Below are 14,593 nucleotides of genomic sequence, written 5' to 3' on the forward strand. Positions count from 1 at the left end.
TCTTTAAGTGGTTGCTTTTCTCCCTTCACTATTAGTTACCTGAAAGCTAAGAACCAACTTTGTGACTTATCTTCAGACAATGCATAACAAAAATAGTAGTTAGCAGCTTGTGATATCTTATGTGGAGGCACTATGTTAAGTACTTTTTGTTTCATTTATTCCTTATAACAATGCTGAGCTGCAAGTAACGGCTCCGAGAATAGAGCTGAGTTGTTTTAAGGAATAAATGAAACAATTCAGTAAATGAAACATTTAGTAAATGCTATCAGACACTTCTATTTTAATTTATTAACATATTTAATCCTCATAGCAACCTTTTGAAATATATTATAAATGTTATTTTATTTTATATAATTGAAACTGAGGTGAGAGGTTAAGGACTTATAATAATAAAATGGTAGAGCAAGTATTTGAACTCAGAGATTCCGGCTCCAAAGTCCGTATTATAAACACTATGCTATACTATGAATTTGACCAAAATCAATCTGCTGGCAAATGTTGTTGCTGAAATCAGAATTTGAATCCAAGTCTTCCTATCCCCGACTTTTGCAAAAAAAAAAAAGTACTATTTACTGAGTGCCTGTAAATGTTTTATACACTAAAGATACATATTACTCATCCTTTTACCCTACAAATATGAATGAATATTAGAGATGTTTGGCAACTTGTCCAAGTCATACAATAAATGACTGAAGTAGGAGCTTAAGTCCACACAGAACTTCATACATGTAAACTGAGCAGCAACTTCACGCCTAGCTCCATGCCACTTTCCTAGTTTTATTTGTGTCTTTTTTCTTACATGGTTCCAACTTACTTTCTGATATTTTACTGTATGCACCTTGTAAATGAATTAAAATCTTAGTTGGAACAAAGCCAAATATAAATGAAAAAATAAAATTTAAAATGTTCTGGAAGTTGATGATGGTCTAGCTCTATTAGGTTTCATAAAACTAAAACAAAAAAAAAGAAGATCATTATTTCAGGCTGGCACAGTGGCTCACACCTGTACTCCCAAAAGTCTGGGAAGCCTAGGTAGGCAGATCACTTGAGCTCAGGGGTTCAGGACCAGCCTGTGCAACATGGCGAAACCCTGCCTCTACAGAAAAAAATACAAAGACTAGCCAGGTGTGGAGGCACACACCTGTAATCCCAGCCACTCAGGAGGCTGAGGTGGGAGGATGGCTTGAGCCCAGGGAGGTCAAGGCTACAATGAGCCATGATTGACCCACTGCACTCCAGCCTGGGTGACAGAGTGAGACCCTATCTCAAAAATTAAATAACTAAATAAATCAATCAATTAATTTAAAAAGATGATCATTACTTCAACATATTCATTCCACAGAGACATAAAAAGTTTAGAGCTGAAAAATCTTAAAGTTAACAGAGATAAAGTTCTCATTTTATAAATACGGGGGAAAAAAAGTCCAATAAAGTTAACTGTAGAGAATGCCAGGGCAAGTTAGAAGAAAGCTGGATTTAACCGACCATCATCTTTATAAATTAATACATGAAAATTAGCCTTTACTTGTAAATGAAATAATATATAGAGGTTTTATCAAAAATACCAAGGAATATTATTACTACCTCATTTTTTATTTTTTACCAGAAGATTGAGAACTATTATATTACAAATAAGAAGCCAAAGATGACCCTAAAATACCCATTTCTGCCATATGCAGTCTAAAATATTCATTATGAAGAATACCAGAATACAGCAATATCATGCAAAGTAACACTCTAACTCAATTGTTTTCATTTAAAATGTACTCACTCTAATTCATTCTTGTCAAATTTATTGAGGTGTAACTTACATACAATAAAACAAAACAATGAGTTTTGACATATCTATATACCATATAATTACTACCCCAACCAATATACAGAACATCACCTTAATCATGGAAGTTCACTCATGCCCCTTCCCAATCAATCTCCTCCTACTTTCTACCCCAGATACCACTAATCTGATTGTTTTTCACTATAGTTTTTCCTGTTCTAGAATTTCATATAATGGAATCATAGAGTATGTATCCCTTATACCAAGAACCTTATACCAAGGTTCTTTTGCTAAACATCATGTTTTTTAAGATTCATCAGTATTTCTGAGCAGTATTCCACTGTAAGAATATATCGAGGCCGGGCGTGGTGGCTCACGCCTGCAATCCCAGCACTTTGGGAGGCTGAGGCGGGCAGATCACCTGAGATTCAAGACCAGCCTGGCTAACATGGTGAAACCCTGTTTCTACTTAAAAAAAAAAAAAAAAAGAAAAAAGAAAAAAAATTAGCCAGGCGTAGTAGTGCGTGCCTGTAATCCCAGCTACTCGGGAGGTTGAGGCAGGAGAATCACTTGAACACAGGAGGTGGAGGTTGCAGTGAGCGGAGACGGTGCCACTGTACTCCAGCTTGGTCAATAAGAGCAAAACTCTGTCTCAAAAAAAAAAAAAAAGTATATATCAAAATTTGTTTATCCACTCAGCAGCTAAAGGACATTTGGTTGTTTCCACTTTGGGGCTATTCTGAGTACCGCTGCTATAAACATTCATTTACATGTCTTTATGTGTTTTCACGTCTCTCAGGGTAAACATAAGGAGTAGAACTGCTGAGTCACACGTTACATGTATGTTTCACTTTAAGAGGAACTGTAAAACTGTTTTTCAACATGTGGCTGTACCATTTTACCCTCTCACCAGCAATGTATGAGAGTCTGGATGCTCCACATTCTCACCAATATATAGTATTAGCAGTCTTCTTCATTTCAGCCATTCTAGTGAGTGTATGGTGATACTCATTGTGGTTTTGATTTGCATTTCTGTAATGATTAATCTCACTGTGTCACCCAGACTGGAAAGCAATGGCACTATCCTAGTTCACTGCAGCCTCAATCTCCCAGGCTCGAGCAATCCTCCTGCCTCAGCCTCCTGAAAAGCTGGAATTACAGCAGCGCAGCACCACACTTAAACAATTTTTTTTATTTTTAGTAAAGACCGGGTCTTACTATTTTGCCCAGGCTGGTCTTTAATGCCTGAGTTCACACAATCCTCCTACCTGGGCCTCCAAAAAGTGCTGGGATTACAGGCATGAGCCACTGCACCTGACCAATTTTTTAAATTTTAAATGTGTCTAGTTTAATTCACTTTCAAACTTAAAATCCATCTTGACTTAGTTATTACATAAGGAATACTGCAAAGGAATCTAAGCAAAAGAATATATCTCACATGAGAAATAAATCTGCTTTATGAGAAAACTAAACATAGAAAGCCATTAACAAAAACTCTCATTAACCTTGACCAACCAATGTCAAATAACCTAAATATCTGTGTTTAATGGTATTATAATTTTTATAGAACAAAAAACATTTTCTTGAAGTTCTCATTGTATTTTATTAAATTTCAATCTGAAATGCATGACAAAGAGCACTGAAACCATCAGTAACTTAAACACAAATGCAATGCTTAACTTTAACCTGAAGATCCAGATCTCAAGTAACACATTATGAAGCTAGACAAGCTCACCTGAGTAGCTGCAGACTGACAGGAAGATGACGATGACGACGAGACAACAGGAATGTCAGACTGTACAGCAGCCACAGTGGTAGCGGGTGTGAAAATCAGCTGTACAGACAGAAAACCAAAAAAATACCCTAAGACAAAAGAACATGTCCCACACACAATGTGTAGCAGGCAAGAGAGACTGAAATTTGTGACAGAAAGACAATGCAGTTTAGGATTATCTCCTCAGCAAAAGGTTCTACATGACAAAGAGAAGTTTCTGATAATAGAGAACTCAAAAAAAATCATAAACATTTTTGAAACAGCTCATGATTCTGATGAGTGCAAAAAAAAGCAGTACTCAAAAAAGAAAATATATTTTGGTGATATGAAATTCTCAGACCAAATTGTGTCTCAAATAAGCTATTATAGTTAAATTTTTCCTAGCTCAGAACTACTGTGGCAGGATTCCTAAAATGGGAAGTAAACAACTAGTCACTATTTTGGGACACAAATTAAATTTCAGTGAGAAACAAAAAGAAACACCAAAAAAGTCTTTTCAGTCCTCTTTATCATAAGGATAACTATGCCACATACTACACTCCAATATTTCACTTAGCTACAAAGGATCTAAAGGACAAATCCAGGTTGCCCTTTCATTTTAAAACTATTTGTAAAGAAATATTCATTCTATGGCCAGGCGTGGTGGCTCATGCCTGTAATCCTAGCACTTTGGAAGGCCAAGGCAGGTGGATCACTGGAGGTCAGGAGTTCAAGACCAGCCTGGCCAACACGGTGAAACCCCATCTCTACTAATAATACAAAAATTAGCCGGGTGTGGTGGCTCATGCCTGTAATCCCAGCTACTCGAGAGGCTGAGGCAGGAGAATCACTTGAACCCAGGAGGTGGAGGTTGCAGTCAGCTGAGATCATGCCACTGAACTCCAGCCTGGATGACAGAGCAAGACTCCATCTCAAAAAAAAAAAAAGAAAAGAAAGAAAGATTCATTCTAAAAGTAAATGCCACACATGTAAAAGTTCAACAACAAAAGAGCCTGCAAAAAAATCTTCACATCAAAAAACAAAGACATTTAATTTTTTTACTTATCACTTTCCTTTTTTTTCCTTTTCTTTTTCTTTTTTTTTTTTTTTTGGTGAGACAGAGTCTCTGTCACCCAGGCTAGAGTGCAGTCATGCGATCTCAGCTCACTGCAACCTCTGCCTCCCGGGTTCAAGCGATTCTCCTGCCTCAGCTTCCCGAGTAGCTGGGATTACAGGCATACGCCACAACGCCCGGCTAATTTTTGTATTATTAGTAGAGACGGGGTTTCACCATGTTGGCCAGGCTGGTCTCGAACTCCTGACCTCAAGTGATCCGCCCACCTCAGCCTCCCAAAGTGCTGGGATTACAGGCGTGAGCCACCGTGCCCAGCTCAATTTTTTTCAATATTCAAACAACTGCCATTAATCTATTTTTTCTTTTTTTTTTTTTTTTTTTTTTGAGACAGAGTTTCACTCTTGTTGCCCAGACTGGAGTGCAATGGCGCGATGTCCGCTCACCACAACCTCTGCCTTCCGAGTTCAAGTGATTCTCCTGCATTAGCCTCCCGAGCAGCTGGGATTACAAGCGTGAGTAATTTTTTGTATTTTTAATAGAGACAGGGTTTCTCCATGTTGGTCAGGCTGGTTTTGAACTCCCAACCTCAGGTGATCCACCTGCCTCGGCCTCCCAAAGTGCTGGGATTACAGGCATGAGCCACCATGCTCAGCCAAATGCCATTAATTTCTAAGGCAATACAATCCACTCAGAGATTAACCAATTCAATTTAGTAAATTTGACAAGTTGTTTCAAAGAATGTGTAAATACTTTATTTCAAAATTGTATCAAGGGTTATTCAGTTCCTCTTGCTATCTAAATTAAAATGTTCAACCAAATGCGGATCCAAAAAAATTAGAAAATTAAACGACCAATTAAGTGACCTTTTAAACTTCAGTTCTTTGGTACACTAAATCTAAGTAAATTCAACAACAAAGTACAATGATGAGCCCTCCATACCTATGGAAGGCTCTGTGCTTCGTCATTCAACTATAGATCAAAACAATATTCATTTAAAAAAAATAGCTGCATCTGCATTGAACATGTACAAATTTTTCTCTTGTTATTATTCCCTAAACAATATAGTATAACAGTTATTTAAATGATGTTTATATTATACTAAATATATGTAAAGACGATGTAAAGTATATGGGAGGATATACATAGGTTATATGCAAATACTATGCCTTGAGCATCCTCAGATTTGGGTATTCTAGGGGACAGAGAGGGTAGGGCCTGGCAACAATCCACCACAGACACCAAGGGACAAATGGTATAACTTTCCTGAAAAGGTAATTTCCAGTACCAACACCCTGAAAGGACTAAACCTAAAAAGAAGATATTCAATTTAGTTTGACCCGTATGAAACTGCTAATTTTAGAGTTCAAAAATAGCCAAATAGCAACCATCTCAAATGGTTCAACCTAATTTTAAAGCATAGTATGAGTTAAATGATTGGAAACTTTGCAATTTTAGATAGAAAACTGAAGATCCAAGCCAGGTGTGGTGGTTCATGTCTGTAATCCCAGCATTCTGGGAGGTGAGGCAGGTGGATCACAAGGTCAGGAGTTTGAGACCAGCCAGGCCAAGATGGTGAAACCCCGTCTCTACTAAAAATACAAAAATTAGCTGGGTGTGGTGGCGGGCACCTGTAATCCCAGCTACTTGGGAGGCTGAGGTGGGAGAATCACTTGAACCCGGGAGGCAGAGGTTGCAGTGAGCAGAGATCGTGCCACTGCACTCTAGCCTGGGTGACAGAGTGAGACTTCACCTCAAAAAACAATAACAACAACAACAACAACAACAACAAAAACTGGAGATCCAGATATATATTCAGTCCACTGGACAAAAAAGAATATAAATATATATTAGGGACAATGCTTTTGTCTAGCTTCTTGTAAAGACATCAAATAAAATACATGTCAACCAATTTCTATATTCCTTAAAGAAGCTCAACAATTAAATTAGAAAATCTGTAGATACTCAAATACAGAATAACCAAATTAACATTCCTATATTCATAAAATATCAAAATGAACACAAGAACACAAATAACCTTGCAGAATTTGAGATGGGAAAAACCAAAGTTAAGAATCATCTGGGAGACTATCCGGAACTCCAATATAGAATTCAGAAAATCCTAGGATACAAATTATAACTTTAACAACAAAGTTTTTTTAACATCTCTATTTCACCAAATCTAAGTTGACAAAAACAGGCAATGATTTTATGGACCACTGTAAGTACCAAGATGCCATCAGTTATAAAATGCATCCAAATTTCACAGATATTAAAATATGAAAAAAAGGTTTTCAATGAATTTGATATTAAAAAATAATCACTCTTACGTTACTGAATCTCTATTAGCTTCTCAATGTAATAATTACTATTTGATACCAAGAAGACCTATTAATTAAAAGTAGAATCTTTCATGACATAAATGTACAAGAGCTGAAGGCACGCCCGCATGCACACACACACAATTAAACATTTCTTAAATATTAAAAATACCTCTTATTGTATCAAATCAAGAAACATTTTGATCTCTCAAGTCCTTAAACACTGAAAAAATTTGGTAGCTCATATCTTACCATTTGAGCTCGGAGATACATTTGAGCTTGGCTTGCCGTTAGGGTAGGGGAAGTACTCCCTAGTAACATAGTCTGTTGGGTAATACTGCCGCTGGTAGAACTGGAAGCCTGGGAACGGCTTATTAACTGTGCAGGTGTAGGAGAAGTGGAGAGGTTGATCTAAGGAAGAAAACATATTAGGTCATAGGCTTCCATTTCTTGCTTCCATGTTACTGAATTTCACACCGAGCTGCAGTTAGGCAATCAATGGTATAAACTGTGGCTAAGGAACCCAAAGGAGAAGCCTTTATCTTTGACAGACCCCCTCATTTCTTTGGGCAGTTATTTGCACATATGCAAACAATGGCATGGATTGGTTAGTAATCAGGGCAATTTTTTTTTTTTTAAGATGGGAGTTTCGCTCTTGTTGCCCAGACTGGAGTGCAAGTGCGCGATTTTGGCTCACTGCAACCTCCGCCTCCTGGGTTCAAGTGATTCTCCTGCCTAAGCCTCCCAAGTAGCTGGGATTACAGGCATACGCCACCACGCCCGGCTAATTTTGTATATTTTTATTAGAGACGGGGTTTCTCCATGTTGGTCAGGCTGGTCTCGAACTCCTGACCTTAGGTTATCCACCCACCTCGGCCTCCCAAAGTGCTAGGATTACAGGCATGAGCCACTGCACCCGGCCACAGTTTTTAAGGATAGCTACAACGTGTTTCAATAAGATTTCTAGTATCTTAAAATATCATTTCCACTACCTCCTAAAAATTAGGGCCAGTGCTCACTTCCGCAGCACATATACTAAAACTGGAACAATACAGAGAAGATTAGCATGGCTCCTGCCCAAAAATGACATTCAAATTCATGAAGCTTTCCATTAGTTTTAATAGGGGATTTTGTATGTTCTCAACACTAAGAAATGATCAATGATTTGAGATGATGGATATGCCAGTTACTCTGATTTGATCACTATACATGATATACATGTATTCAAATATCACCCTGTATCCCATAAATATGTATAGTTATTATGTGTCAGTTAAAAATTAAAAAAGAGCTACTGTTTCATTTTAATATTCCACATAACTTAAAACATCCTAATCAACAGTTTATTCTGTCACATTCTGAGGAGTTTGTGAACAAAAATTAAAACACAGATAATGCATTCACATATATAAAGACATACATGTAACACATAACCAGTGTAAAGCTGTAGTCAAAAGCTCTCAAGCAAAAGAAAATACTACTTCTCAAACAGATGGAAAAATCCTGAATATCAGCTACAAAATTAAATTATAAACACTAAAGTTTAAAACTTCTGTTAAAGAATAAACTAGAGCATTGTTGGCCGGGCGCAGTGGCTCACGCCTGTAATTCCAGCACTTTGGGAGGCCGAGGCGGGCGGATCACAAGGTCAGGAGATCGAGACCATCCTGGCTAACATGGTGAAACCCTGTCTCTACTAAAAAAAAAAAAAAAAAAAAAAATTAAAAAAATTAGCCGGGTGTGGTGGTGGGTGCCTGTAGTCCCAGCTACTCGGGAGGCTGAGGCAGAAGAATGGCGTGAACCTGGGAGGTGGAGCTTGCAGTGAGCCGAGATTGCGCCACTGCACTCCAGCCTGGGCGACAGAGCGACACTCCATCTAAAAAGAGAAAAGAAAAAAAGAAAAAAACCCAATAAACTAGTGCATTGTTAACCTCTAGAAGGATGCGTAAGAAACTGGTAACTGGTTGTATCTATAAAGAGACATTGGAGTGGGGTGGCTAGGGTAATAGGGAAAAGAAAAAGCATACTCTTTTTTTTATCTTTCTAATTTTAGACCACATGTATATATTACCCATTTTAAAAATAAATAATATTTTTGGCCGGGTGAGGTGGCTCCAGCCTATAATCCCAGCACTTTGGGAGGCTGAGGTGGGCGGATCGCAAGGTCAGGAGTTTGAGACCAGCCTGACCAACATGGTGAAATCCCATTTCTACTAAAAATACAAAAATTAGCCAGGTGTGATGGCACGCGCCTGTAATCCCAGCTACTCAGAAGGCTGAGGCAGGAGAATCGCTTGAACCCGGGAGGCGGAGGTTGCAGTGACCCAAGATCACGCCACTACACTCCAGCCTGGGCAACAGAGCGAGACTCTGTCTCAAATACTAGTAATAATAATAATAATATTTTTAAACAGAGAATAATATAATCCAACCTCAAATCATTTTGTGGAACAAAGCACAGAATACAATTAATAAATATTTTATTAGAAAAAAGAATACTTTATTGGACTTCTTATTCAAGCAACAAGGCAGACTGGACTAATACATCCATGTGACCAAACGGTATCACTGAAATGCTAGATCAACATGAAAAAATCAGAATATACAGCAGAACTCCAAAAGGGAGAGAAAAGCTGGGAAAGGAAATTCCTGGTGCCAGAAAGGAAGAAACTCAAAGCCAGAGAGATGTCACCTCAGCTGACACCAAGGCAGTCTATAAGGGTATCTTGGTTCTATAGAGCCAGAAGATCCATCTTTGTGCTTATTTCAGGGGAGGGCTACAAGTCAAATCCCTATTTTGAGCCAAAATCCTGAAAAGAGCTGCCCAATATGTAAGAAGGAGCTGGAAAAGCTCCACCCATACGTTCTGAGAAACAGCAAAGAAGCTTGCATCTGCCCTGCTCCTAGTGGAGGCAGGGAAGGAGGTACCTATGAGAATCAAAACTCCAGGCTTACACCAGGTAGGGGTATAGAATCCACATCCACACTCCCTGTACGGTTCCATAACCCAGCCCAAGACATTAACATCTGAACTAACCCAGGACACTTGTTAAACTGAATGGTGACTGGAGGAAGCTGAGTGAAGTTTATATAGGAGGACCTCTCTGTACTAGTTTTGCAACTTCCTATGATTTATAGGAATTTAATTTATAATTATTTTAAAATAAAAAAGTTTAAAAAACTGTATAGTAGGCACATGACAGTTGGTTATCTAATTCTCTAAATGTATATATATCACATATTTTTATTTTAATATAATAGTTAAATGTATAAATCAATGCATAAATACCACTAATACAATACAGAATTATTCTGTAATTTTGTTTGTTTTTGTTTTGTTTTGTTTTGTTTTTTTGAGACAGAGTCTCGCTCTGTCGCCCAGGCTGGAGTGCAGTGGTGCGACCTCAGCTCACTGCAACCTCCACCTCCTGGGTTCACATCATTCTCCTGCCTCAGCCTCCTGAATAGCTGGGACTACAGGCGCCCACCACCACGCCTGGCTAATTTTTTTTTTTTTTTTTTTTTTGTATTTTTAGTAGAGACAGGGTTTCATGGTGTTAGGCAGGATGGTCTCAATCTCCTGACCTCACGATCCCTCCCCCTCGGCCTTCCAAAGTGCTGGGATTACAGGCGTGAGCCACCGTGCCCAGCCTATTCTGTAATTTAGATCCTATTCCTAACACATCACTGAAATCACCTTAACAATAGTCACCAACATCTAACTGACAAAATCAGTGGAATCTTTTCAGACCATTCCCTCTCAGTCTTCTTTACCAGCTCTTCTTTTGCACCCACTCCCAAAATGTTCATGCTCTGTCTTTGACACTTTTCTTCTTTTTTTTTTTGAGACAGGGTCTCCCTCTGTCACCCAGGCTGGGGTGCAGTGGAGTGATCATGGCTCACTGCAGCCCCAATTTCCTAGACTCAGATGATCCTTCCACCTCAGCCTCCTGAGTAGCTGGGACTACAGGCATGCATCACCACACCCGGCTAATCTTTGTTATTTTTTGTAGAGACAGGGTTTCATCATGTTGCCCAAGCTTGCCTCAAACTCCTGGGCTCAAGCGATACCCCCACCTCAGCCTCCCAAAGTGCTGGGATTACCAGCATGAGCCATCGCACCAGACCACACTTTTCTTCTTGAATTCCTAGATTATCATATCTACTTCCACGGTTTCAAACAATTCAATCCTGATGACTCTTGATTCTTAACTATAAACCCTTTTTTGAAGTTCCAGATCCAAATACCTACAGAACACATCTTTCTGGGTATCCTTTACCAGCTCAAATTCAGCATGTTCAAACAGCAAACTAATTATTCCTTTTAAAACAGCTTCTCCTCAAATGGCACTGGCATTTTCTAAAATTCTCCAAGACACAGTATCTGGAAGTCATCCTGATGCTTCCCTCTCCTTTACCACACACACAAAATCAGTCACGTATCTTGTTTCTAATACATCTTTTTGTCTCCTAATTTCCATTTTGATTTTTCATCACTTAGTTTGAGACTTTGGGCCCATGTCATTTCTGGCTTGATTACTTTAATATCTGCAAACTGATACCTCTTACTGGAATCTTGTCACCTTCTACTTGCCAGATAATCTTTCCCTGATTATTAATATTAATTACCCATTTAAGAATCTTCTGAGGCCGGGCGCGGTGGCTCACGCCTGTAATCCCAGCACTTTGGGAGGCCGAGGCGGGCGGATCACGAGGTCAGGAGATTGAGACCATCCTGGATAACACGGTGAAACCCCATCTCTACTAAAAATACAAAAAAATAGCCAGGCGTGGTGGCGGGTGCCTGTAGTCCCAGCTACTCGGGAGGCTGAGGCAGGAGAATGGCGTGAACCCGGGAAGCGGAGTTTGCAGTGAGCCAAGATCGCGCCACTGCACTCCAGCCTGGGTGACAGAGAGAGACTCCGTCTCAAAAAAAAAAAAAAAAGAATCTTCTGGATAAAGTTAAACCTCTTCCCTGACAACCTCTCTAGCATCATCTCCTCCCCCTCCACACACAACCTTCCCATTACCATAGCAAGGTATGTGTAGTATCATGATCTCAGTCCTCTATGGCACTGGCGATGATATTCCTGACTAGATTGAGCATCCTTGCCACCGCCATGTCCCAGCCCATCTGCAGCTACATAGTGAACAACTTCTCAAAAATCACCTGCTCTAATAAGCTTTTTCAGGCATTCCCATATCCCAAAGCAGAACTGACTATTCCCCCTCTTTGTTGCCTAATTGTTACCGTCCATATACTTTTAGCATATATTTCTATCTCATCCTTCTAAATAATAATTTCTTTAAGGGTGGGGGCCATGTGTTATTCATCTTCATATATCCAGTATCTACGAAAGGTCTTCATTCAATAAGCTTATTAAGTTAATTAATGTCATGTTATTTTAAGGCATATTTCATATTTTAAGGCATATTCATGCAATATTTAAGCTTTGCTCCAGAGATTAAATTACCAACAGGGAAGAACTGGACCCAAGTTTTTCTGACTCATGTATTTTGGCATTCGGGGTACTTTTTTAATATCCTGATAGCTCTCTAGTTCAGGTTACTCTGCAGTAATAATGCCTTAGAACTTTTTTTTCAGTTGGTGATTCTTTCAAAAAACAGTAAGAAAGAAATGTACTCTTAGTAAGGATATTTACACATTCTCTAAAGAAAAATGTAATAAAAGTCTTCTTTAAAAAATGATTGGCTGATAGCTAACAAGCTGGAGAATGCTTTTTAAGGAAGTATAGTACAAAGTACAAACAGAATGCTTTTATTTTTCTTAAAAAAGAAAAGAGGAAGTGAAGACAACTAGCAACGCCCTAACCACCTGTATTCTACTCTAAGTTGTGAGATCAAAGAACAAGTGTTGTGTTTACTTTTAAGTTCCATATAACAAGTAATATTTCAAAAGCAGCTATCTACTAATAACACCCAACTCATGAAGGCCAACAGATCAGTAGCCACCTCTGCAAGAAGTCCATCTCCCTAGCTAGCCTAACTAAAAAACTGTCCTTCCTTTCCACAACTGATAAGGCTCTCCTTTTTCCTGTGTTGCTCTGCTGACCTAAACCAGATGTCTTTACCAGTTTCCATTAATTTCTCTGTCAGTTCCATCCCAACACTCCTAATTCCCTTTCACTGAAGACCCTGACCAATCCTGTCACTTCATATCTCAAGTCACACTCCACAAAGAAACTCACTTACTGAGCCCGATTACTGCAAGCTGTCTCCCCACTGACGCTAATTCTAGGAGTCACCAGAAAGAAACAAGTCTGCCAGAAAAAGCCACTTAACTCCCAACTACCTGTTAATGTCCTCAAAAGGAGTTTCCAACCGATTACTACCCATAGCCAAAGTCCATTTGAGAGTTGCCTCTACCGTTTCACTGATCAGAATCAATCAGGTATACCCTAAATAGAGAAACATTTCACATTAAAAGAATGATGTATCTGTATTCAGTGGCATTAAAAGATTTTTGTGTCCACTGCTGAGTAAAAAGGCAGCAAAACAACATGTAGAGTATCATTCATATAGGTACATACAAATGTCTGTGTGTGTATATGTATCACAAATGTGAAAAACATGTTAAGAAAGATGGCCAGGCATAGTGGCTCATGCCAGTAATCCCAGCACTTTGGGAAGCTGAGACAGGTGGATAGCTTGAGCTCAGGAGTTCGAGACCAGCCTGGTCAACATGGTGAAACCCTGTATCTACCAAAAATACAAAAAATTAGCCAGGCATTGTGGTGCACACCTGTGGTCCCAGCTACTCAGGCGGCTGAGCTGGGAGATCACTTGAGCCTGGGAGGCGGAGGTTGCAGTGAGCCGAGATTGCAGCACTGCACTCCAACCTGGGTGACAGAGCGAGACCCTGTCTCCAAAAAAAAAAGTTAAGAAAAATGACTGCATTGGATATACACACAATAATACATACTCATAACATGATATATGACTAGACTCAATATAGAAACACACACACACCCATGCACCACTACCTGTGAGAACAGTCACCAAAATGTTAAAGGTGTATATATATAATGCCTTCTAGGAGTAAAATCCGGGATTACTTTTTTTAAAGTTTTTAACTTTTCTATGTAGATATTAATTTTAGAATCAGAGAGGAAATGCTATTTTTCTCTTTAATGCTTACCTTAGTATATTAATTTGCTTTTATCATGTTAAAGCAGCTTATAAATAGTATTGCCTCATTATTTAGTGGGAACTGCTATGTGGTATTTCAAGTATCAGTAGAGTAAAATGCTATATAGAAATTTTATTTTTATTTTATTAAGAAAAGAGATGGGGTCTACGTAGTTCAGGCTGGTCTCAAACTTCTGGGCTTAAGTGATTCTCCCATCTTGGCCTCCCAAAGTGCTGGGATTACAGGCATGAGCCACCATATCCGGCCCTATGCAGAATTTTTTTTTTTCTTGAGACAGAGTCTCACTCTGCTGCCCGGACTGGAATGCAGTGGCACAATCTCCGCTCACTGCAACCTCCGCCTCCTGGGTTCAAGTGCTTCTCCTGCCTCAGCCTCCTGAGTATCTGCGACCACAAGCGCCCACTACCATGCATGGCTAATTTTTGTATTCTTAGTAGAGACGAGTTTCGCCATGTTGGCCAGGTCTCGAACTCCTGACCTGAAGTGATCTACCCACCTC

The 14,593-nt window shown here is 39.2% G+C and overlaps 1 protein-coding gene and 1 pseudogene across 23 annotated transcripts in view; one reads left to right on the forward strand and one right to left on the reverse strand.

Moving 5' to 3' along the window:
• Window positions 1-14,593, reverse strand: part of PHC3 (polyhomeotic homolog 3) — a 94,150-nt gene that overhangs the window by 54,327 nt on the left and 25,230 nt on the right. For 12 of the 23 annotated variants that reach the window (NR_199371.1, NM_001437998.1, NM_001437996.1 and 9 more), the window contains exons 5-6: window positions 7,176-7,334; window positions 3,513-3,611 (exon numbers count right to left, since the gene is read on the reverse strand). The exons of 5 other annotated variants lie outside the window; for them this stretch is intronic. Coding sequence is in view for 16 of the 18 variants with exons in the window: in NM_001437998.1 (NP_001424927.1) it covers window positions 3,513-3,611; window positions 7,176-7,334 (258 nt within the window). In the remaining 2 variants the exon portion in view is untranslated. The remainder of the gene's footprint in view (window positions 1-3,512; window positions 3,612-7,175; window positions 7,335-14,593) is intronic. 6 more of the 23 variants (NR_199370.1, NM_001438001.1, XM_047448984.1 and 3 more) reach the window with 1 other exon arrangement.
• RNU6-315P (RNA, U6 small nuclear 315, pseudogene) lies at window positions 7,935-8,041 on the forward strand (annotated as a pseudogene).

This window comes from Homo sapiens, chromosome 3, assembly GCF_000001405.40.
Source record: "Homo sapiens chromosome 3, GRCh38.p14 Primary Assembly".
Taxonomy (NCBI): Eukaryota; Metazoa; Chordata; class Mammalia; order Primates; family Hominidae; genus Homo; species Homo sapiens.